Here is a 26,114-nt window from a genome sequence, read left to right as displayed (position 1 = left end):
TAGAACATTTCTTTACCAAGAGATGAGAGCATAAGAGGAGAAAGTATTTGCCTGTGCCTTTCCTGATAATGTTGACAGCTTGTCTCAGGGTAAAATAAACCAGTTACTTGGTTTAGATTGGCTTTATTAAACTAATATATTATTATGCCCTTAACATATGCATTTGTTTAGTGAATACATAAGTAAGCATTTTGTGATTTCTACATGTCAGTCATTGTCCCAAGTGTGGGGTTGCACAAAAATGAACCCTTCAAGGAATGAGTCAGTCAAGGACACCTGAAATTAAGCCAGTTCTTAGTATTCTACCTGATAAGTTATCTGGTAGAAATAAGTACACAGAGGGCTCCTATCCAAAAATAGGTGTAGGGTGAAAAGTGGTCAGGGAACACTCTTTTCAAGAGAATATACAAACTGTTTTAGATTCCAGGATCAATATTTTTTGCCATATTGGAGAAGAGACTATCTCTTTGCAGTCCTGACCAGACATCCCCAGTCAGCATAGTTGTAAGATCTCGCATGTGGGTTTGGGGATATTGCAGGGGTCCCTCTGTGCTTAGCATACCATGTGCAGGGGAAGGTAGAGCAGCACCTCCATGAAAGGAAGGTCGACCTCCTCAGTCCTTTACCCAGGCGCTTAAGTTAGATGTGTACAGAACTCTACGTGGGAAGACAGTGGCAAGGAGTCGGAGGTATCGTAGCTGGGAAAGAAGGCAGGGAGGAGGTTTCTAAACACTGACAGTGGGCAGTTCTTCCTCATTACAGCAGATGTTAGGGGCCTGAAAAGTTGTCCACCTTACAAAAGTGTCATGTGATGCTTCTGAGTTTCTTGACATGGCTTACATGTTGTAGTGGCCCTGCACTGACTGGAATTTTGAGTTTATCATGCATTTCACTACCTCTGATGCCTTTATGAAGTGAGTCATTTCTTAACTTCTCTGTTTACTCAAAGGTAAATGAGATGATGCCTAATGTACAAGTCTTTTGTAGAGTATATTTTACTCTGCAACATGCTGTGTAACAGAAGCGATAGTGTCATTATTGCTACATCATAATCAGCAACCTTCAGAATAGATGAGATAGAAACATTAACCTTAGCAAAAATATGGCAGTTTAAGTCACAGAAAGTTTTGTGGTCCATTGTAGAATTTGTCTTGAGTCGTTCTGACAAACCTGAAGATCACAGGGGTCATGGTATAGGAAAGTCACTTGGAGTTGACTGCGCTGAGGCCGTTGATCCACTTGTTGTGGCCTGAAAAGCTGTGCTGCTCCAAGGGCTTCATGATTATTGATCTTACTTATTAGAAGAGTTGATATTACTTCTTAGATGGCCAAAAAGCAGAGTCATGTGAGGGACTCTGATAAGAGGTGGTCCCAGGGCATCTCCTGTGAGCAGCACCCTACAAAAAAACAAGAAACAAAAACCTGCACACCTTTCTCCAGAGACAGAGGACTAGCTGATTATGAAGAAGTACCTGAATGATAAACTAGATTAATTTTATTGCTTTTGCTCATTTGTGTGAAAAAATAGTGCTGCATTATAGACTCTCCAGATTTAAATAACATTTTGCTGAGTTGGGAAGAAGTGTTTCTCCTTATTTGATTGTCATGGTGTGCACTGTTCATTCCCACAGGCTTTGGTCCTCTTAGATGTCACTCCTGACCAGTCAATGGTAGATGAAGGAATGGCTCGGGAAGTCATCAATCGCATACAGAAACTTCGCAAAAAGGTTAGTTTGTCAGTTAAGAATAAGCTACTGTTTTGGCTTTTTGTTTGTTTTGGTTGTTTGGAGAAGATAGGAGAGGCAGGTAATATAAACCATAGTGATCAATGCATAACAATCACTAATCCATAGTCCATTTGGAATGTATTCTGCAGAAAAGTCACTCCTCTTCCTCTCCCCACGTGTTCACTCCCAAGTCGTAGCTTTCAGCCAGCCTGTGCCTTTTCCCATCCTTTTTTTTAGCTCCGTTGGGCTTCTACAGAATATCCCCTGTGACTGGAGCAGAAGGTAATCAGAGCTGATAGTGTCTTTGCAGAAGGGCAGAGGTGCAGTCAGCATAGACAGGCTTCTAGCTTAGGGGAGATTCCCGGATTTGGACAGAGTTGGGTAGTTTTTCCTTATTAGAGAGCTGAGGAATATGCAGGGAGCTCATCCTGGAGCGCAGAGGGGCTGCAAAGCCCCTGCTAGTGAGAGAATCAGGAATTTCTTGCCCTGTAGAGGGCAGTGACAGCTAACATACATCTTTCTTCCCAGACGGTTCAAGGTCTGAGGAGGCTGTTCCAGCAGATGAGTGGGTGCTTGTGACCTCTGAATCAGTTCAGAGCTTTGTAAGTGGGTTCTAAGTAATTTCTTGGTTTCAACATTCATGAGGTACTGATTGTTCTAGGAAAAGAAACATGCCCTATCCCCCAAAGAGTGGTGAAAAAGACACAAAGTTAATCATGTACTGAGTGCAGTTAGTCTTACGGATCACCCAGCAGGGAGGGAAGGGTGACTGCCCTTCTGTGATGATTCAGCATGGGATCTGTAGCCCTTGTTCAACAGTACCTTCCTTCAGTTCTGATTAATAGAATGTACTTCCCTTTTAAATTTTTCTGTGTGTGTTTTCAGTGCAATCTGGTTCCAACTGATGAAATCACAGTGTACTATAAAGCAAAGTCTGAAGGAACATATCTGAATAGTGTTATTGAAAGCCACACAGAGTTCATATTTACCACCATAAAGGCTCCCTTGAAACCATATCCAGTTTCTCCATCGGATAAAGTCCTTATTCAAGAAAAAACACAGGTGAGTCCTGAGTTCCACTGAACTACTACTAAAGGGTTTCAGATTAGGTTTGACTTTGTGTACTCACGTGTTGATATTCTGTCCCACAGTAGAGATCGGCACAGCACTCTGTCTTGAAGTATTGCTCTGGACAGTAGTGGGTAGAGTCAGAGAGTGGAAGCTCAGAAAAGATGGAGCAGGGAGGGAAGATGGAACTGTTTTCACAACAGTTCTCTTGAGGAAGGTAGCCAGGAGGGTACATGAGCTTTGCCCGGAAATAAAATGGCCTGTTTTTTCTAAAACTAGAAAAGGCAGTGTGTGGATTCTGGTAATTATCATTAAAAGTAAATAGCAATTGGCTTGAAAAACATTTAACTCTTCTGGTAGTGGGTTCTCCATAAAAGTACAGTACAAAAAAAGAAAGATTACAATAGCATTTCTGTTGTTACATCTAGGAATTTTAGATATACTTATGAAAGTATGATATTAAGGTAGGGAAGATATTGGCTTATAACTTAGAAGTAGATCATTTAGACTGGGCACAGTGGCTCACACCTGTAATCCCAGCACTTTGGGAGGCCAAGGCGAGCAGATCGCTTGAGGTCAAGAGTGCGAGACCAGCCTGGGCTGGTGAAACCCCATCTCTACTAAAAATACGAAAATTAGCTGGGCATGGTGGTACACGCCTGTAATCCCAGCTACTCGGGAGGCTGAGGCAGAAGAATCGCTTGAACACAGGAGGTGGAGGTTGCAGTGAGCCGAGATTGCATCACTGCACTCGATCCTGGGCGACAGAGCAAGACCCTGTCTCAAAAAAAAAAAGTTGATCATTTAAAATATACCTCAGTCACTTGCTTAATCATTTGCTCCGGTCTCATTCTATGAGACAAGTAGGACAAGACAAGGAGGGGCTGATGATGGCTGTTTATTTTTTCAGTGAGGCGAGTTGCAGTGTAGTTTCATTTTGTATTTTGCATATTGTGTAATTATTTGACTTTTTTTAAGTGAGCATATATTTTTAAGAAACCAGGATAAGAAGAGAAGAAAAATGGGATATAAATTGTAGCTTTTGATACTTTGAGTAATGAGATTGAATATGTTATCAATTGTGTACAGCTCTTGTTGTTACTGAGAAGTCACTGTGTTACACGATGGTGTGGCACATTGCAGTCAGGTGCCACAGTTACTCAGTCATACGTTCTCATGTGCTCAGTTGAAGGGATCTGAACTGGAAATTACACTCACCAGAGGATCTTCCCTTCCTGGTCCTGCTTGTGCATATGTCAATCTTAACATTTGTGCAAATGGCAGTGAACAAGGTAAGAGTAAATTCCATGATTTGTGTGACTTTTTTTTAGTTATACTTATGGATGTGAAAAAACAACCAAAAAAACTTATGGATGTTTTTAAGAGAATTGGAATAATTATTTAATCATGTTTAATAGATAACTTTTTCTTCTTGTCATCAAAATGAATTCACTAGGCGAGATGCAGTGGATCATTCCTGAAATCTACCACTTTTGGAAGCCAAGGTGAGAGGATTGCTTGAGGCCAAGAGTTCAAGACTAACCTTGCCAACATAATAAGATCCTGCCTCAATTAAAAAAAAAAAAAGGGCCAGGCATGGTAGCTCACACCTGTAATCCCAGCACTTTGGAAGGCGGAGGCTGGTGGATTACTTGAGGTCAGGAGTTCAAGACCTGATAAACATGGTGAAACCCTGTCTCTACTAAAAATACCAAAATTAGCCAGGCATGGTGGCAGGTACCTATAATCCCAGCTACTCAGGAGGCTGAGGCATGAGAATTTCTTGAACCCGGGAGGTGGAGGTTGCAGTGAGCTGAGATTGCACCATTGCACTCCAGCCTGGGTGACAAAGCAAGACTGTCTCACCAAAAAAAAAAAGAAAAGAAAAATGAATCCACTAAAGTAAATGATTGGACTTATGCTTGTGGAAGCATGAAGCAGATACAGTTTTCCCTATTCCTCCTGCTAAATACATCTAAACACCCTGGATATTACATGTAAAAACAAGCATAAGAAGACTCTCAAAGATGTAAGGAAGAAAGCAGACCACCTAAGGACCTTGTAACCAAGTGACCTAAAAGTAGTAAGTTCAGGGTTTTCTTTTCTGCCTCGTATACCCAAAGTTGGAACTGAAGAAGCTGGCAACCTGGAAATGTCAAGTACAGACCAAAGAAAGCCTCAACAAAAATTCTGCTCCCTTGACAAAGGATCAAGAGATGGGCAGCCTAGCAAGACAGAAAATTTTGAAACAGTAACTGCTCTACTCTAGCCAGACACCATAGAAAAAACTATGGCCCCACCACCACCCACATTAGCAAAGGCCAAGTGGGGAGCCTGGACTTCACCCTTGCCAAGCTGAAGACCCCTCCCCTGTCACAGGGGTATCAGAGAAGACAAAGTAGGAAGCTGGGACTTTCATCCTAGTGGGGGGCAGTAATGAGCCCCTCTGCCCGGTGGCATCAGTGGAGGCCACATGGAAAGCCTAGATTTCCATCCCTTCTGGGCAGTAACAAGGCATCCCTCCCATTTACAAATGCATGGCAGCAGTGAGGCCACACACCACGAGCAACTCCTCTGTAGTGTCAGTTAAGGTATGCGTGAAACCCAAACAGGATAAACCCAAAAGAATCCACATCTACATATATCATAATCAAACTTTTGAAAACCAAAGACAAAAAAAGTCTTGTGTGCAGTGAAAAAGATATAACACCTAACTTACAGGGGAAGAACAAATGATATTGGATTTTTCATCAGGAACTACAGAGGCCAGAAAATGAAAAGGCAGCATTTTTCAAGTGCTGAAAGATAAGTATTGTCTACCAAGAATTCCATATCAATCAGAAATACCCTTCAGGATGATGGGAAAATAAAGACATTCTCAAGTGAAAGAAAACTAAAAGAATCCGTTCCCAGCAGACCAGTCCTAAAAGAGTAGCTAAAGGATGTTCTTACCACAGAAAGGAAATAATGAAAGAGGGAATCCAGAAACATCAGGAAGGAAAAAAGAAAAATGGAAAATCAAAATGGAGGGTAATTCAATAGACTTTCATTACTCTCATGGGTCCAGCAAGCACTATATCATTGTTCGATGTGGTTCTCTGTGTATATACACTAAGGCCTCAACATCATCAGTGAGTTCTTGGGTCCTGCAACTTTAAGTGAAGTGATGTACTGTGTGCCATGGGAACTTAACTCCTGTGGTAAAGTTGGTTTATTATATAGTACATCATTCTGCTTGAAGTCACAGTTTCCAAGAACCTACCAGCAACATTAAGGATTTACTGAACAAGAAATAATAGTTAAGACAATTACAAAGGAGCGAGGTTTCTACATTTGTCACAAACCGGTAAAATATTGACACCAGTGGACCTTAGGAAGTTATGTTTATGTTAGGTACTACTTGGAGTTACCACTAAGAAAAGACTATACCACAGGATACATATAAAACCCTAGAAAAATAAAAAATGGAACTCTAAAATATGTTTTAAGTAACTGTATTAGTCCATTTTTCATTGCTATAAAGGAATACCTGAGGCTGGCTAGTTTATAAAGAAGGTTTATTTGGCTCACAGCTCTGCAGGCTGTATGAGAAGCACGGCACAAGCATCTGCTTCTGTTGAGGGCCTCAAGAAGCTTTTACTCTGCTTTACAGAAGATGAAGTGGGAGCAAGTGTATCACATGATGAAGAGAGGGAGCAAGATAGAAGCCAGGCTCTTTTAAATAACCAGCTATCGCATGAACGAACAGAGTGAGAACTCACTCATTACTGCAACAAGGGTACCAAGCCATTCATGAGGGATCGGCACCAGTGACCCAAACACCTCCCACTAAGCCCCACTTTCCCACATTGAGGATCACATTTCAACATGAGAGTTGGAGGAGACAAATATCCAAACTATATCAGTAACCCACAAGAAGCTAGGAGAGAAAATCAGAACAAATATGCCAGGCACAGTGGCTCACGCCTGTAATCCCAACACTGGAAGGCCAAGGCAGGCGGATCACCTGAGGTCAAGAGTTCAAGACCAGCCTGGCCAACATAATGAAACCCCACCTCTACTAAAAATACAAAAATTAGCCAGGCTTGGTGGCGGGCGCCTATAGTCCCAGCTACTCAGGAGGCTGAGACAGGAGAATCGCTTGAACCCGGGAGGCGGAGGTTGCAGTGAGCCAAGATCACGCTCCTATACTCTATACTGGGTGACAGAGCGAGACTCTGTCTCAAAAAAACAAGCAGAACAAATGAAAGATTGGCATATTGTTAAAAACACATTAGCCAAGTATATGCTGTCTATAACAAACTTCTAATATAATGATACAGGTGAGTTGAAAGTAAAAGGGTAGAAAAATATATACTATGCAAACATTAATCAAAAGAAGCAGGAATGGTCATGTTTGTATTAGATGAAACAGACTTCAGAGCAAAGAAAATTACCAGGGGCATTAAATAATGATAGAAGTGTCAGTACACAAAGAAAACAGTGATCCTAAATTTATATGCGTCTAACAAAAGAGTTACAAAATACATGAAATAAAAAGATACAGACATTAAAGGAGAAATAGACAAATCTACAACTATAGTTGGAGACTTCAAAGTACCTTTTTCAGTAATCAATAGACCAGTTAGAACACCTCAGCCAAAAATAGCAGAATATAAATTATTTTTGAGCTCTCACAGAACTTTGCTGAGATACATTATAACCTGGGCCATAAAACAAACCTCAACCAATTAATACAGTTGAAACCAGAGTGTGCTCTCTGACCACAGTAGAATCAAACTATTAATTAGTAATATAATAATGAAAATCTCCACACTCTTAAAAATAAACAACATGCTTTTAAATTATCCATGATTAGGGAAGAAGTCTCAAGAGGGAAAGAAACATAGAACTGAGTGTAAAGGAAAATACGACATCAAAATATGTGGAATGTGGCTAAAGCAGTCCTGAGACGGAAATCTGTTGCACTAAAAACTGAAAGAAAGATGGTTTCAAGTCATAACCTAAGGTCTAAACTCAAGAAACTAGATAGGAAAAAAAGGCAGAATAAATGCAAAGTAAGAAGAAGGAAAAACATAAAAATAAGAGATCAGTGCAATTGAAAACAAAAACGATAGAGAAAATTAATGATACAGAAATCTGGTTCTTACCCAAAAATTCAGCAAAATTAATAAACCTCTAGTGAGACTAATAAAGAAAAAGAAGACACAGTTGCATATCAGGAATAAAAAGAATTATTGATACAGATTGCCAAAATCAAAAACGCAAATACTATGAATAAATCTCCATATGTAAGTTTGACAACTTGGATGCTTGTCGCCCAGGCTGGACAGTGCAGTGATGCCAACTCAGCTCACTGCAACCTCCACCTCCTGGGTTCAAGTGATTCTCATGCCTCAGCCTCCCGAGTAGCTGGGATTCCAGGTGTGCCACACCACGCCTGATGAATTTTTGTATTTTTTTGTAGAGACGGGGTTTCACCCTGTTGGCCAGTCTGGTCTCAAACTCCTGGCCTCAAGTGGTCTGGCCTTCTTTGGCCTCCCAAAATGCTGGGATTACAGGTTTGAGCCACTGTTCCTGGCCTGAAGTGAACCCTGTTTCTAAAAAACACAAACTACTACAACTCACACAATATCAAACAGATAATTTTAATGGCCCTATAATTATTAAGGAGATGAATTTGTAATTTAAAATCTCTGAACTAATCTCCAGGCCCAGTTTCACTGGAGAATTCTTACCAGAATTAACACCAGTTGTACACAGACTCTTCCAGAAAATAGAAGAGGAAGGAACATTTCACTCATTTTATGTGGTTATTAACCTGCTACCAAAACCAGATAAAGACAGTATTAACAAAAAAGATAGGCTGGGCACGGTGGCTTATGCCTGTAATCTCAGCACTTTGGGAGGCCAAGGCGGGTGGGTCACCTGAGGTCAGGAGTTGGAGACCAGCCTGGCCAACATGGTGAAACACCATCTCTACTAAAAATACAAAAATTAGCCAAGCCTGGTGGCGGGCGCCTGTAATCTCAGCCTACTCGGGAGGCTGAGGCAGGAGAATTGCTGTAACCTGGGAGGCAGAGGTTGCAGTGAGCTGAGATCGTGCCATTGCACTCCAGCCCAGGCCGACAACAGCGAGACTCTGTCTCAAAAAAGAAAAAAAAAAGATAGAAAACAGATATTCCACATGAATATAAATGTAAAATTCTTCCCAATAAATTATTAAATAGAATTCAGCTATGTATACAAAGAATTATGCACCATCACCAAGTGGGATTTATTCCAGGGATGCAAGGCTGATTCAATATTTAAAAATCAATCTAGTCCAGGCGAGGTGGGTCACGCCTGTAATCCCAGCACTTTGGGAGGCTGAGGCGGGTGGATCACAAGGTCAGGAGTTCAAGACCAGCCTGACCAACATGGTGAAACCCTGTCTCTACTAAAAATACAAAAATTAGCCGGGCATGGTGGCGCGTGCCTGTAATCCCAGCTACTCAGGAGAGTAGGATTATTGAGGCAGGAGAATTGCTTGAACCTGGGAGGCAGAGGTTGCAGTGAGCCAAGATCGCACCACTGTGCTCCAGCCTGGGCGACAGAGGGAGACTCCATCTCAAAAAAAAAAAAAAAAAAAAAATCAATGTAATTATCGTATTGTCAGACTAAAAGATTACATGAGTATAGCAGTTGATTCATAAAAAGCATTTGATCAAATTCAACACCCATTCATGATGAAAATCCTCACAAAAATAGGAAGAGATGAGACCTTTGTGGACTGGATAATGAGCATTTTGCAAAAATCCTACAGCTACCATTATACCTAATGGGGAAAGCCTGAATTCTTTCTACCTAAAATCAGGAACAAGGCAATCACAACTCATATTCGACATTGTACTGGAAGTTCTAGCCAGTGGACCACGGCATGACGAGGAAATAAAAGTCATGCAGATAAAGAAAGGAATAAAGCTGACTCTATAGAAAATCATAAGGAACATACATACAAACACCTGAAAAAATAAGCCAGGCTTGGTGGCTCACGCCTGTAATCCCACTTTGGGAGCTAAGGCAGGCAGATCACCTGAGGTCAGGAGTTCAAGACCAGCCCGGCCAACATGGTGAAACCCTGTCGAAAAAATATAAAGAATTAGGTGTGATGGCGGTCACCTGTACTCCCAGCTACTCAGGAGGCTGAGGCAGGAGAATCACTTGAACCTGGGAAGCGGAGGTTGCAGTGAGCCGAGATCGCGCCATTGTACTGTAGTTTGGGCAACAAGAACGAACTCCATCTCAAAAAAAAAAAAAAAGCTCATATTGCCTGGTTTTAAGATGTGGCCTGGGATCACCATATTGATCTTCCCATGCCAGCTGCTCCCATGATGGTTGTGTGTTTATTTAGACCTGTGATGATGTCTCAGACAGTACATGGTTCCCTGAACTGCTTTGCAACTTCAGTGATGTTGTATGGCATTGAGCTGGTCCATCACTGCCAACATCCTGGCTGTCTCAGGTTACCCTGTAGAAGGAATCGGATGGTCAGTGGTGTGCATCAGTAATGTAAACAAGAACAGTGTTCTTGTACAGAGGGCCAGCAGCATGAGCAGTGATAAGACAGGTAGGGCCTATTTTCCCATCTACCAACTCCAGGACTGGCCATTCCTGGGTCAGTTGACCAGACACCTGGAAAGAAGAGCTCTCAACTCCAAGATTATTTTCTTAGTAATAGCTTTAAATGCAGCCACAGCTTGGTCGTCTGCCTTAATATGATTTGATATGTTTTGCAATTTACTGTCCTGCTGAAAGCATTCATATTATGAGGGAAAAAACCATACAAATCATCGCTAAATCTGTTATTTTTAAATGTTTGGCCTTTTTCTATACCCTTTGGATTCAAGCATTAATTGGGTTTCCAAAGTAATTGAATAGAAATCATATTGCTTATAAAAAAGAAAAAAACTTTTGAGTCACAGGATGTAAGATAAACATACAAAAATGAATTTTATTTCATAATAGCAATCTATACTAGCAATGAACAAGTGGGCAATGAAATTAAAAATGTGGTATCATTTACAGTCACTTAAAAAAAGATGCTAGGTCAGGCGTGGTGGTTCACGCATGTATTCCCAGCATTTTGGGAGGCTTAGGCAGGAGGATTACTTTAGCCTGGGAGTTCGAGACCAGCCTCGGCAACAAAGTGAGACCCCGTCTCTACAAGAAATAAAAAACTAGGCAAGTGTGGTGGTGTTCGCCTTTAGTCCCAGCTACTTGGGAGGCTGAGGTTGGAGGATTGCTTGAGCCTGGGAGATGGAGGCTGCAGTGAGCCATGATCATGCCACTATACTCCAGCCTGGGCCACACAGTGAGACCTTGTCTCCAAAAAAATATTCAGATGTAAACCTAATAAAACATGTTGGGACTTGTATACTGAAAACTTCAAAATAGTGATGAAAAAAATCAGACAAAATCTAAGTAAGTGGAGAGACGTGTATGGATTAGAAGATTCAATATAGTAAAAATGTATCTTCTATCCTGCTGTGGTTTGAGTGTGTCCTCCAAAACTCAGGTTAAAATGTCATTGCCATTGTGACAGCATCATGAATTAGTTAATTACTTCACAAGAGTTATGATAATTCTTACCCAGTCCAATGGTGTGATCTTAACATCAGAAACCTGTACTTGTCAGAGTCCTTTCCATTGCATCTCCTCAAAGATGAAACACTTTAGATTCACTGTTGCTTACAATAGTTTTCAGGAAAGTGCCAGAGTAAAACAATTAACTATCGTTGGATGACAAGACTTTAAATGGCCATGGTTAAATATCTAATGAGAGTTCATTATACTAATGTTGCAATTGACAAGGAAGTTTAGTTATTTCTGTGGTATACAGCATTTTAAGGTAACTAGAATTATGACTGATAACATTAGACCAGGCTATCAGATTTCTAAGAATTTCACACAATTTCTGGAACACATTATTTGTACAAGTTAAAGAAGGTTAAACAACATTTCTTATTTGACAGCGCTTCCCATGCAGATCTAACGTAGTCAAATAAGTCTAACTTGTTTACTGTTTCTCTTCATAATGAAAGAAAATTCTCTTGAGATATTTCAGGGGGCCTCTGAAAGCTCCCAAAGTTAGCTTGAGGTCAGAAAGACTTAAGTTTAGAGTTTGATTTTGGGAAGCTAGTAAAAAATATCAAAGGCTTAAAACACTTGATTAATAGGATTGCAGGTCACTGAAGCTACAGTCACTCATTTAACCAGAGTGATAATTAAAAATATCAAAGGCAAATATAGAAAGTCACAAAGTTATAAAAAGACCTGAGCAGTTTTAATAGAGAGGACTCTGTTTCTCTGTTTTCTTTTCTGTAGAGACAGTGTCTCACTACACTGCCCAGTCTGGTCTTGAACTCCTGGACTCAAGCAATCCTCCTACCTCAGCCTCCCAAAGTGCTGGTATTATTAAGGCTTATTAATTTGATAATTTATAAATAAATTCATTCAGAACTTACCCAGGTTGACCACACATAAAATTCCTTTTCCAAGATTCCTCTTCCACAAACCTACTACAACTTTCTCATACCCTTCTGTTTTGGATTAAATTCTTCCTCTTACTGTGAAACAAGTCATTCTACTATAAGGCAAAAGTTAGTCTTTTTCTCTTAACGAACACACATCCTTCATACTTCATAGCTTCACCTTACCAAAACCATGTCTTTTCCTCACATACAGAATCATTTCTCTTATTCTAGTTATAACTGTCACATCAGCATTCTATAGATTGGCAAATCTATGAATCAAATTTGTAGAAACATATGCTTCCTTGTAGTATAATTTATGTTCCACTATTAATGCTTCAGTATTTTATTTGGAAAATATCTACATATCCAATGAATATTCATCATTTAAATTAACAAAACCCCTAGGCTGTAAATTACCAGTGGGGAGCTATTTTTGAGTAGACATAACACAAACAAAGCTAGCTATCATTAAGTTATTTCTCTGTTAGCTACTTTTACAGCATGTGCATGTTCGGCAGTCTTCACAAAAACAAGAATCCTAAAAAGTTTAATAGATGAGATTTTTTGTTTTTTTGCTGCACTCGAAAAACGTGAAGTAATGGATACTGGCACCCACTTGCACATTGTTCATAGGTTGAACTCATAGTTGTATAATTATAAATATGTAGTGGAGGTAACATAAACTTATTTGATAATAAATCCTGGTAGGATTTAAAAGTTGTATATCTGCATTATATATTCTTACCCAAGTCACATGAACTTGAAAAGCATGTGTGTTGGTTTCTATATTGCTGAGAGAATACTTAATTTATGTGAAATGCTTATTTTTCTTTAAATCAATTAAATAGAAATCTTTTATGAATTAATTTTTGACCATACCATCTGGAGGTAGAAAAACATCTCATGGCTGGGTGCGGTGGCTCACGCCTGTAATCCTAGCCCTTTTGGAGGCCGATGCAGGCAGATCACCTGAGGTCAGGAGTTCAAGACCAGCCTGACTAACATGGAGAAACTCCATCTCTACTAAAAAAAAAAAAAAAACAAATACAAAATTAGCTGGGCATGGTGGCACATGTCTGTAATCCCAGCTACTCGAGAGGCTGAAGTAGGAGAATCACTTGAACCCGGGAAGTGGAGGTTGCTGTGAGCCAAGATCATGCCATTGCACTCCAGCCTGGGCAACAAGAGCAAAACTCCGTCTCAAAAAAAAAAAAAAAAGAAAAAAATAACACATATACGTAACATACCTACATGCACAGGCATGTATAAGCATACAGATAAGCAGATTTCTTAGCTTTCATTTGAAAACTGTAGCCATGTGCTAGGTACTATAATATAAAACACACTAGTTTATGAAACAATAGCTGGATCAAAAGTATATTCCCAGCAGATGGAATAAATTAAGGTTACTTACTTAGGTGGCCAAAGTGCTCTACTAGTATTTTTGGAAAAGTCTTAAGATTTTTCATTTAAACATTAAACAAAGAGTTTTAAAGCCTTGACACAAAACACTGTCCTTAAAAGGGAAAAGTGATATATTGAACTAAATGAAAATTTAGGTTTTGCTTTGAACATCCTATAAAAGGATGAAAGACAAGCTACAGACTGGGAGAAAATCTTTATAAAACAACATATTTGACAAAAGACATATCTAGAATACGTAAAGATCTTTTAAATCTCAACAGTAAAGAAAAATCCAGTTAGAAAATGGGGTAGAGATATGAACAGACATTTACCAAAGGGAATATACAAATGACAGAAATGTCCATGACAACATTTAACGTCATTAGCCGTTAGGAAAATTCAAGTTGAAATCACATTGAGGTCTTAATACACAGCTATCACAATGACTAAAATTGCAAGTAGTGACAGCACCAAATGCTGTATCTCATACATTGCTGGTGAGAATATAGAATGGTATGATCACTCTGGAAAATAGTTCGGCAGTATCAGAAAACTAAATATGTGCTTTCTATAATGACTCGCAGTTGCACTCCTAGGTGTTTATCCCAGAGAACTGAAAACTATGTTCACCACCACATGAATGTATATAGTACTTATATTCATAATAGCACCAAACTATAGATGACCCAGATATTCTTCAGCAGATAAATGGCTAAGCAAACTGGGGTACATATCATAGAACATTACACAGTAATAAAAAGGAACAACTATCAGCACAGTAACTTATTTTAATCCTTAGAAATTGATGCCAACTGAGGCCAGGCACAGTTGCTCATGCCTGTAATCCCAGCACTTTGGGAAGCCGAGGCAGGCAGATCACCTGAGGTCAGGAGTTTGAGACCAGCCTGGCCAACATGGTGAAACCCCGTCTCTACTGAAAAAATACAAAAATTAGCCAGGCGTGGTTGTGGGTGCTTGTAATCCCAGCTACTTGGGAGGTTGAAACAGGAGAATCTCTTGAATCCAGGAGGCAGAGGTTGCGGTGAGCCGAAATCGCACTACTGCATTCTAGCCTGAGCGACAAAGCTAAACTCCATCTCAAAAAAAAAAAGAAAAGAAAAGAAATTGTTGCCAAATAAAAAAAGTCCCAAAAGGTTCCATACTGTATGATTGCATTCACATAACATGTTTTAAATGATAAGATTATAGAAATGGAGACTGTTTGCCAGGGATTAAGGAGGGAATGGGCCTGGGAGGGAATTGGGTATGGATATTAAAAGGCAACACGAGGATTCTCATGGTGGCAGAACTACTCTGTATCTTAATGATGGTGATGGGTACAGGATTTTACACGAGTGATAAAATTGCATAGAACTAAACATACCCACGTGTACACATGCCCCAGTGAGTAAAAGTAAAACTGAGGCAATCTGAATAGGATCAGTGGATTGCATCAGTGTCAATATGCTGGTTGTGGTATACACTGTAGTTTTGTAAAATGTCACCATTAGGGGAAACTGGGTAAGGGGCCTGTGGTATCTCACTACGTGCATTTGGCTCTACAATTAACTCAAAATGTTCAAATATATTAATAAAGTAAATATCCGTACATGAATCTAAGGTGCAGAATAAATCAACATCAGGGGTCAGATAGTATTTTTAACCATCGTGACCTGTGGGAATATACATATGGCACAAAATGAAAAATGACAATCATAAATAAGAATCATGAATACAAAGGTTTAAATCTAGAAAAAGACAAGAACAGATTGCCTGGTAGAGTTCTATGCCTGGACCATAGCTACCAAGGATTGCCAAAACACATGCCAAGGATGGAGATGTGTGTGTGTGTGTGTGTGTGTGTGTGTGTAGTGTATATATTGCATATACACTATATATGTATATATATGTATATATATCCATCCTTGGTATGCTTTTATATGTATATAATAAGCTATATATACACATATATATAGTGTATAGTTGGGGGAAAAGGAAAAATATTAGGGCTTGAACCCCTTTGTATCCCTTTTCCTCCAAATGTAACATTTTCTTTTTAGTTTTATTTGTCTGATTGAGGTGTTATTTTTGTGGCTTTTTAGGTGGAGTATTGCTCCTGGAAAATCCAAAAGGTGACAATAGGTTGGACCTTTTAAAGCTGAAGAGTGTTGTCACTAGCATTTTTGGTGTGAAAAATACAGAGCTGGCTGTCTTCCATGATGAAACAGGTATGTGGAAAGTGAGAGGAGCCTACGTCCTTTGACTCAAGATGGATTGGTGAAGGTCTTAATTTGCTGTCAGTTGTACTATACAACTTTTGCATTTTTCCTAACTCTCTTGAGTCAGGGCCCAACTCTTCAGCAGTGCCTGCCTGCAGTGTCTATTCATGCCTCCTCATTGTGTCATGTGACTGAAAACCCTGGGCTTAATGGATCTAATCTTTCCCTCTCACCTGTTAGCTAGCTGGTGGACTTCAGGCTTCAGAGTCCTCTGTTGTGAGGTTGTTTTTGTTTTTGAGACAGGGTCTCACTCTGTCACCCATGCTGGAGTACAGTGATGCAGTCATGGCTCACTGCACCCTCGGCCTCCTGGGCTCAAGTAATCCTCCTGCCTTGACCTCCCAAGTAACTGGGACTACAGGCATGCCACCACCATGCTTGGCTAATTTTATTTAATTTTTTTGGAGAGACCAAGTCAGTATATTGCCCAGTCTGGTCTTGAACCCAGGGCCTTAAGCAGTCCCCCTGCCTTGGCCTCCCAAAGTGCCGAGATTCCAGGTGTGAGCTACCACACCCAACCGTGAGTTTTAACTTTATTAAACACAATGCCTGGATCTCACTAAGTCTGGATTCTCAATAAAGCAAACCTGAAAAATTTTTAAAGAATTATAGATGCATTCTCCCGCTGTTACGTATTGAATTGTGACCTCTGAAAAAAAAAAGATTATGTCCTAACCCCTTGTATCTCTAAATGTGACCTGTGGAAATAGGATTATCGCAGATGTAACTAGTTAGGATGAGGTCATACTGGAGTAGCGTGGGCCCCTAATCCAGTATGACTGTTGTCATTATAAGAAGGTGGCCATCGGGCTGGTCTCCAGCTCCTAACCGCCAGTGATCCGCCAGCCTTGGCCTCCTGAGGTGCCGGGATTGCAGACGGAGTCTCGTTCACTCAGTGCTCAATGGTGCCCAGGCTGGAGTGCAGTGGCGTGATCTCAGCTCGCTACAACCTCCATCTCCCAGCCGCCTGCCTTGGCCTCCCAAAGTGCCGAGATTGCAGCCTCTGCCCGGCCGCCACCCCGTCTGGGAAGTGAGGAGCATCTCTGCCTGGCTGCCAATCGTCTGGGATGTGAGGAGCCCCTCTGCCTGGCTGCCCAGTCTGGAAAGTGAGGAGCGTCTCTGCCCGGCCGCCATCCCATCTAGGAAGTGAGGAGCGCCTCTTCCCGGCCGCCATCCCATCTAGGAAGTGAGGAGCGTCTCTGCCCGGCCGCCCATCGTCTGAGATGTGGGGAGCGCCTCTGCCCTGCTGCCTCGTCCAGGATGTGAGGAGCGTCTCTGCCCGGCCGCCCCGTCTGAGAAGTGAGGAGACCCTCTGCCTGGCAACCGCCCCGTCTGAGAAGTGAGGAGCCCCTCCGCCCGGCAGCCGCCCCGTCTGAGAAGTGAGGAGCCCCTCCGCCTGGCCAGCCGCCCCGTCCGGGAGGTGAGGGGCGCCTCTGCCCGGCTGCCCCTACTGGGAAGTGAGGAGCCTCTCTGCCTGGCCAGCCGCCCCGTCCGGGAGGGAGGTGGGGGGGTCAGCCCCCCGCCCGGCCAGCCGCCCTGTCCGGGAGGTGAGGGGCGCCTCTGCCCGGCCGCCCCTACTGGGAAGTGAGGAGCACCTCTGCCCGGCCACCACCCCGTCTGGGAGGTGTACCCAACAGCTCATTGAGAACGGGCCATGATGACAATGGCGGTTTTGTGGAATAGAAAGGGGGGAAAGGTGGGGAAAAGATTGAGAAATCGGATGGTTGCCGTGTCTGTGTAGAAAGAGGTAGACATGGGAGACTTTTCATTTTGTTCTGTACTAAGAAAAATTCTTCTGCCTTGGGATCCTGTTGATCTGTGACCTTACCCCCAACCCTGTGCTCTCTGAAACATGTGCTGTGTCCACTCAGGGTTGAATGGATTAAGGGCGGTGCAAGATGTGCTTTGTTAAACAGATGCTTGAAGGCAGCATGCTCGTTAAGAGTCATCACCACTCCCTAATCTCAAGTACCCAGGGACACAAACACTGCGGAAGGCCGCAGGGTCCTCTGCCTAGGAAAACCAGAGACCTTTGTTCACTTGTTTATCTGCTGACCTTCCCTCCACTATTGTCCTGTGACCCTGCCAAATCCCCCTCTGCGAGAAACACCCAAGAATGATCAATAAAAAAAAAAAAAAAAAGAAGGTGGCCATGTGAAGACATAGAAACACACGGAGAAAATGCCATGTGGTGACAAAGGCAGAGATTGGAGTTACACACAGCTGCAAGCCAAGAAACAACCAAGATTGCCGGGAGCCTCCAGAAGCTAGGAAGAGGCAAAAAAGAATTCGCCTACAGGTTTCAGAGGGAGCACATCTGCCAACACTTTAATTTTGGACTTCTGACCTCCAGAACTTTGAGACAGTACATTTCTTTTATTTTTATTCCCTAGCCCCCTGCAGTTTATGGGACTTTACTATGGCAGCCTCAGAAAACTAATACTCATTTTATGAATCTGAATGCTCATTTTCAGAAACTTTTAAATAACTTAAAAGAAGAAATGCAAATGGCCAACTAAGGAACAACTGGTGCATCTTAATGGTAATCAGGAACTTGCAAGATAGTACCACAGTGAGGTACTATTAACTGCCACCAGATTGGCAAAAACTAGAAGAATCTGGCAGACTCAAATGTTGTCAGGGATATTGCATAATGGGAACTCTCATTCACTGCTGGATTATGAATTGTTGGAACCACTGGAAAACTGTTTGCTATTGTATCCATTAAAGGTTGGATAGGAGAAGCAAAAGCAATGTGGGAGAAACCAAGTAAAATTCTACAAGAAGGTAGCAAGTTAGAGGTCTGAGAAAAATCTCTAACCAGGTTCCACCAAGGTGGTGGATAAGTCAGTGGAAAGCTGGATCTCTGCCTAAAGTCACGGTAGGATGAGAAGTAGAAACGAGCAAAAACAGGCTAGAGTGCACATCTATCTGACCTCATCCCACACTGACAGGTGCCTTGCAGAAGAAACTGCTGGTACACTTTTCCAGAGAGTTGCACACATTCCTGGCCTGGAAGTTGGAAGAGCAGAGGCAGGAGCGTGGGCTGCTCACTGTCCCACTTAACCCAACAAGTTGGCAGATTCACAGCAACCTGAGAAAGCCAAGGGCACGGGCCCCATGTTAGCCTGTTTAGCATAATGACTGTTACTAAACTTCTACCTTCTAAATCCTGTGTAGATTTGTCTGTGATCAAGCCATTACCCAGAACCAGGTCAGACAGAGAACCTGGGAAATAGTTTTAGCTTAGCTGCATTGACACAGGATGAAACCACCATAGTTCACCCCATTGTGATCTTGACATCTATACATGGCTCTTTAAATCATATGTAACTTCCAAATAAAGACCCTAGTAGATTAAAAAAAAAAAAAAAATCACACTTTTAACTCTTTCTTGTACTGCTTCAAAGATGCTAACTTCATTACCCAAAACGAGATAGAAAGTTACCTTATCCTTCTTTGGGTGATGTTGATTTCTCTTCTAGCTGAGCCATACATCCCTCTTTTGCTGTTCTTTAACTTCACTGAGGTATAAGGTTAACCCGTTAAAATATTTCATGTTATATGGTAAGGAAATAAGAGAGTGGAAAAATAAGAATTGGCTAATATATATTAATACATAATGCCACACTTCATTTGCTGAAAAATGAGTTCTCTGGTCAAGCGATGCTATGTGGAATGCTGTGTTGGTAAATAAGACATTCTCTACCTCCATGGATGGTGGGTTTGCCAGAAGCATTATAGGTGACAGTGGCAAATCCTTGTCCAAAAGGAGTGTGTGTTCCAGTAAGACCAAAGCACTGCCTTTTCCCATAATGGAAACAGTGCAGTACAACCAAGCTGCCATCAGGAGTCTGGCTTGTCTTTCCTGGCAATAACACTGTATCGAAAGCTCAAGTAATGGTTCCCGCTGTTGGTAGGTGGGATACGCAGTAGCAGCTGTAGCAAAATCAGCCTTAGGGAGTGGAAGTAATGTTGTGGAGCCCGTGGTTATTCTTCCTCCCAGTCTGGGTGGCCCCTTTGTTCATCAATCCATTGGGCAAGGGCAGGAGTGGCTGGCGGCAGAATAGAACATGTCCACTGATTATTATTATTTATTTTTTATTTTTTATTTTTTGAGACAGGGTCTCACTCGATCACTCAGGCTGGAGTGCAGTGGCTCAATCATAGTTCAGTGTAACCTCAAACTTCTGGGCTCAAGCAATCCTCCCACCTCAGCCTCCAAAGTAACTAGGAGTACAGACACATGCCACCATGCCTGGCTAATTCTTTTCTTTTTTGTAGAGAGGAGGTCTTGCTGTATTGCCCAGGCTCAGTCTCCTGGCCTCAAGCAGTCCTCCCCTTTCTGCCTCCCAGAGTGATAGGATTACAGGTGTGAGCCACTGTGCCCAGCCTCACCCATTTTTAGATCCTCATTCATAGTCTGCCCATTTGTAGAGATCTGTCCACATACCTCTTGCCCTAACTTCCTTGTCACCAGTTTTCTAATTCTGTTCTTTGAGTCCCTGGCTGTTCTCGTTTAGTCCAGCTATTGGCCAGTGTCCATGAATCAGTGTAGATCTACTCCTAGCTATTTCTGCTGAGCAAAATGACCAGCCGGCTGCACTGAAAGAAGCTGTGCCCATTGGGAGGATTTCCACCCATCACTATTCTTCAGGGCTACCCAGAGTCAGAACAGGGCCGTTAAGACTGTAATTGTCTACTTTGGATGATACAGCGTATTGTGCAGTAAAGCCCTACACAGCAAGCCCTAAAATGTTTTCTTTCTCTGCCAGCCAGTCCTGGAAGACTTCCTACAAGGCCACACCTGTGGTTGAGAGAAGAGACCATGTGGGCCTAGGCTGAGCATGAGCATCTAGCCACTGGTGCAGCAGTTTCCTTGTTCCCTGAGCCAGTGCCCCAGCCTAGTCTCATACCTACCATTTCCACTCAATATTTGGAGGCTGCCCTGTGGGCCTGTCCTATATCACAACCATTACCAGTCATCTGCCTGCGCATGCATCCCCAAGCAACGTTTAATGTTCTCTAAATGAAATTACACTGCATATGTTCTGTGTATCATGCTTTTTTTCACATCTGCTCCTGAGTCAAATAACATCTTCTGACTGTAATTAGCACTTTTTAATGTAAGTTTTTCATGGTGAAGCTTGAGATTCTGATATAGGAGGAAATTTTAAGAGGAGCTGTATTATACAGAGAAAATACTAAAATAGAGAAAACAATTAGCCCTATATTTCAGATTATGAATATTATGATGTTTGTTTTGCAACATTGAGATTTCCTACCATTACATGTCATTAAAGGCTGGTTTTATAGAAAAGGCAATGTCTCTTGATAAACAGAAATTAAGTGGAAAGCATTATCGTAAAAAGATACATGATAGTTAAATAGGAAAAATTGAATGACTTCAGTTTTGAATTTGTTCGTTAACCCTGAAAGAATTGTTGTTGTTATTTTTAGAAATACAAAACCAAACTGACTTACTGAGTCTTAGTGGAAAAACACTTTGTGTGACTGCAGGATCGGCTCCCTCTCTGATCAACAGTTCTAGTACTCTTCTTTGTCAGTATATCAACCTACAGCTCCTGAATGCAAAGCCACAAGGTATGTGCCTCCCCACAGCAGGCAGACTGTGGGGTGCTGGGCATTGAAGTTGTCTTTAATATTCAAATATGTGTGTATTTCTAGTCGGCTTCAAAGTATTGCTTTAAAGTGTGGGCTCTCACGCAACTTTGGGGAGCAACCACAGGCTTTTCTTTTGGTGTGTTATAGAGACCCTCATCCATCTGGCATGGTTAGGAAATGAAAAAATTGGTTAGGTAAAAATTACAACTAAATTGTTTGAGTGCCAAAACATTTTAATCTCAAATTTTACTTTCTTTTCTGAGGAAAAATGTTCTGAAAACTTCTATACCTCCATGCCTTAATCAACAGACTAGATTGATAGTGATTTTTTTCCTGATATTTTAGGATCCTCATTGTGCACATTTGTACTGAAGTCTTCGGGCTCCTCACTTCACTGTGTACTGAGTATCTGCTCCCCAAGCTGCTGGGCTTTTATATAAGTTTTTTTTTTTTCTTTTTCCCCTTCCCCTTCACCTCTATGAAATGTTGAGAGCTGTTTCTGCATGGACTGCATCTTCAGCGGTCACACTCACGCTCCTGGACGCACTGCTGGCCTCAGCACTGCCTGTTAGAGCTGTCCGCAGTGGCCACCTCTTTTGGAGCTAGAGGGTGAACTCTCGAGATTTAATCCAGTTTGTTCTGTCTTCCACAGAGTGTTTAATGGGGACAGTGGGCACTCTCCTGCTTGAAAACCCACTTGGGCAGAATGGACTCACCCACCAAGGTCTTCTGTATGAAGCAGCCAAGGTGTTTGGCCTTCGGAGCAGGAAGCTAAAGCTGTTTCTGAATGAGACCCAAACGCAGGGTAAGGAGATTGTGGACCGTAAGTTTTTTATTTTTGTTGAAAGTAGATTTTGATGCCATTAACCATTTGTAGCATATACATGTAAGATAGTACTATTGTTATCCTGTTTTGTTATTCTTTCCCCAGAAATTTACCATAATATAATTTTCTTTTCTTTTTTTTTTTTTTTTTTTTTTTTTGAGACTGAGTCTCACTTTGTCTCCCAGGCTGGAGTGCAGTGGCACGATCTTGGCTTACTGCAACCTCCGCCTCCTGGGTTCAGGCCTGGGGCTTCAACCCAGGAACAAGGATTCTCCTGCCTCAGACTTCCGAGTAGCTGGGACTACGGGCGCCTGCCACCATGGCTGGCTCATTTTTGGATTTTAGTAGAGACGGGGTTTCACCATGTTGGCCAGGCTGGTCTCAAACTCCTGACCTCAGGTGATCCGCCCACCTCGGCCTCCCAAAGTGCTGGGATTACAGGCGTGAGCCGTGATGCCCGGTCAATAATATAATTTTTTAATAGCAATTAAAAGTATAATTACTTTTTGCTAAATCTAAAAACTACATTGGTATGTTATTAAAAATACATGCTTCTAGGTAAATCAGCATATTTGCTGACCCTAAAATTGTTCTTTCCCCCAAAAGTCAAAATTATCACAGGGTTGTAAAATAGCCTGACATTACAGCCTTACAGCTGACATTATACCTCCCTTTACAGTTTATAAAACATGCTTACCTGCATTTTTTCCTTGAGACACGTAACACTGTGAAGAGCTAGATCATCAGTTGACATATTCCACATTCTATTATCTAGAAAATAGAAATTAAGGATGGCGACCTGCACTTACTTGCTGGTGTCAGGCAGCTTATTTTCTCCTCCTCCCGTTCTCCCACTTAGCACTATTCACTTCTGAGATTTCAGCTTCTGTGGCTGCTCTGTCAACTTCTCTGTTGACATCCTCACCCTACCCTCTGAGTTTCGTTCTGTAATCCTGCTACACATCAGACATGTTCACTTTAATATTGCTGCCACTGCAATCACTTCCCCAGACAGCTTCCCTTTGTGGGATCTGTTTTTTTCTATTTATACCCATTCTTGACATCTCAATTCAAGACTTTTACCATCCCATCCTTTTATTTGTAACACCTGATAGCCTGGGATTTATTGGGCTTTCTGTGTCAGTATTTGTGTCTTTCGGCACTTGTGGAAAATTGCCAGACATTATCTTGTCCAACTTACCTCTTATTCATTCTCTCTGGTATTCTCTCCTTCTGACACCTTGTTTAGACATATTTTAGATGGACTTTCTCACTCTATCCTACCTCTTATTCTCTTTTCCTATTTTCCCTCCTTTTGTCCTTATATACTACATTCTGGATAATTTTGGCTTTTTTATCTTACCCTTGTTCCTCTGCAGGTAAGGTGCTGCTTTTCTCTGCTTCCTTGAAGATTTTCCCTTTGTCTTTTACTTTCTGCAGTTTATGATTTCCCTAGGTGTACATTTTTTGGTATAAGGCAGTGTTTATTTCTGTTACAGTGTTTTGGTTTTTTTGTTTTGTTTTGTTTTGTTTTTGAGACTTGGTCTTGTTCTGTCACGCAGGCTGCAGTGCAGTGGCTCAATCACAGCTCACTGCAGCCTCAAACTCCTGGGATCCAGCGATCCTCCCACCTCAGCCTCCCTAGCTAGGACTACAGGCACGCGCCACCATGCCCAGCTAATTTTAAAATTTTTTTGTAGGGACAGGGTCTTGCTATAAGGTCAAGGCTGGTCTTGAACTCCTGCCTTCAAGTGATCCTCCCACCTTGGCCTCCCAAAGCATTGGGATTACAAGCAAGAACCACCACACCCTGCCTAATTTCTACCATTTTCATTCTATTCGTGTTTTTTGTTTGTTTGTTTGTTTGTTTGTTTGTTTTGAGACAGAGTTTCACTCTTGTTGCCCAGGCTGGAGTGCAGTGGCACGATATCCCAGCTCGTTGCAACCTCCACCTCCTGGGTTCAAGCGATTCTCCTGCCTCAGCCTCCCGAGTAGCTGGAATTACAGGCATGTGCCACCATGTGCAGATAATTTTTGTAATTTTATTTTATTATTTTTTTATGATTATTATTTTTATTATTATTATACTTTAAGTTTTAGGGTACATGTGCACATTGTGCAGGTTAGTTACATATGTATACATGTGCCATGCTGGTGCGCTGCACCCACTAACTCGTCATCTAGCATTAGGTATATCTCCCAATGCTATCCCTCCCCCTCCCCCCACCCCACAACAGTCCCCAGAGTGTGATATTCCCCTTCCTGTGTCCATGTGATCTCATTGTTCATTTCCCACCTATGAGTGAGAATATGCAGTGTTTGGTTTTTTGTTCTTGCGATAGTTTACTGAGAATGATGATTTCCAATTTCATCCATGTCCCTACAAAGGACATGAACTCATCATTTTTTATGGCTGCATAGTATTCCATGTTGTATATGTGCCACATTTTCTTAATCCAGTCTATCATTGTTGGACATTTGGGTTGGTTCCAAGTCTTTGCTATTGTGAATAATGCCGCAATAAACATACGTGTGCATGTGTCTTTATAGCAGCATGATTTATAGTCCTTTGGGTATGTACCCAGTAATGGGATGGCTAGGTCAAATGGTATTTCCAGTTCTAGATCCCTGAGGAATCGCCACACTGACTTCCACAATGGTTGAACTAGTTTACAGTCCCACCAACAGTGTAAAAGTGTTCCTATTTCTCCACATCCTCTCCAGCACCTGTTGTTTCCTGACTTTTGAATGATTGCCATTCTAACTGGTGTGAGATGGTATCTCATTGTGGTTTTGATTTGCATTTCTCTGATGGCCAGTGATGATGAGCATTTTTTCATGTGTTTTTTGGCTGCATACATGTCTTCTTTTGAGAAGTGTCTGTTCATGTCCTTTGCCCACTTTTTGATGGGGTTGTTTGTTTTTTCTTGTAAATTTGTTTGAGTTCATTGTAGATTCTGGATATTAGCCCTTTGTCAGATGAGTAGGTTGCGAAAATTTTCTCCCATTCTGTAGGTTGCCTGTTCACTCTGATGGTAGTTTCTTTTGCTGTGCAGAAGCTCTTTAGTTTAATTAGATCCCATTTGTCAATTTTGTCTTTTGTTGCCATTGCTTTTGGTGTTTTAGACATGAAGTCCTTGCCCATGCCTATGTCCTGAATGGTAATGCCTAGGTTTTCTTCTAGGGTTTTTATGGTTTTAGGTCTAATGTTTAAGTCTTTAATCCATCTTGATTTTTGTATAAGGTGTAAGGAAGGGATCCAGTTTCAGCTTTCTACATACGGCTAGCCAGTTTTCCCAGCACCATTTATTAAATAGGGAATCCTTTCCCCATTGCTTGTTTTTCTCAGGTTTGTCAAAGATCAGATAGTTGTAGATACGTGGCGTTATTTCTGAGGGGCTCTGTTCTGTTCCATTGATCTATATCTCTATTTTGGTACCAGTACCATGCTGTTTTGGTTACTGTAGCCTTGTAGTATAGTTTGAAGTCAGGTAGTGTGATGCCTCCAGCCTTGTTCTTTTGGCTTAGGATTGACTTGGCGTTGCGGGCTCCTTTTTGGTTCCATATGAACTTTAAAGTAGTTTTTTCCAATTCTGTGAAGAAAGGCATTGGTAGCTTGATGGGGATGGCATTGAATCTATAAATTACCTTGGGCAGTATGACCATTTTC

The 26,114-nt window shown here is 41.6% G+C and overlaps 1 protein-coding gene across 22 annotated transcripts in view; it reads left to right on the top strand.

The window, feature by feature from the left end:
- Window positions 1-26,114, top strand: part of IARS1 (isoleucyl-tRNA synthetase 1) — an 83,491-nt gene that overhangs the window by 48,755 nt on the left and 8,622 nt on the right. For 14 of the 22 annotated variants that reach the window (NR_073446.2, NM_001378573.1, NM_001378583.1 and 11 more), the window contains 6 exons: window positions 1,632-1,727; window positions 2,613-2,789; window positions 3,982-4,087; window positions 15,817-15,942; window positions 21,454-21,597; window positions 22,271-22,423. Coding sequence is in view for 21 of the 22 variants with exons in the window: in NM_001378573.1 (NP_001365502.1) it covers window positions 1,632-1,727; window positions 2,613-2,789; window positions 3,982-4,087; window positions 15,817-15,942; window positions 21,454-21,597; window positions 22,271-22,423 (802 nt within the window). In the remaining variant the exon portion in view is untranslated. Of the gene's footprint in view, window positions 1-1,631; window positions 1,728-2,612; window positions 2,790-3,981; window positions 4,088-15,816; window positions 15,943-21,432; window positions 21,598-22,270; window positions 22,424-26,114 lie in introns of all 22 variants that reach the window. The other 8 variants (NM_001378584.1, NM_001378579.1, NM_001378580.1 and 5 more) reach the window with 5 other exon arrangements.

The sequence above is a fragment of the Homo sapiens genome, chromosome 9 (assembly GCF_000001405.40).
Source record: "Homo sapiens chromosome 9, GRCh38.p14 Primary Assembly".
Taxonomy (NCBI): domain Eukaryota; kingdom Metazoa; phylum Chordata; class Mammalia; order Primates; family Hominidae; genus Homo; species Homo sapiens.
Note: the sequence above shows the minus strand (reverse complement) of the source record. Positions and strands in the feature narration are given on the sequence as shown.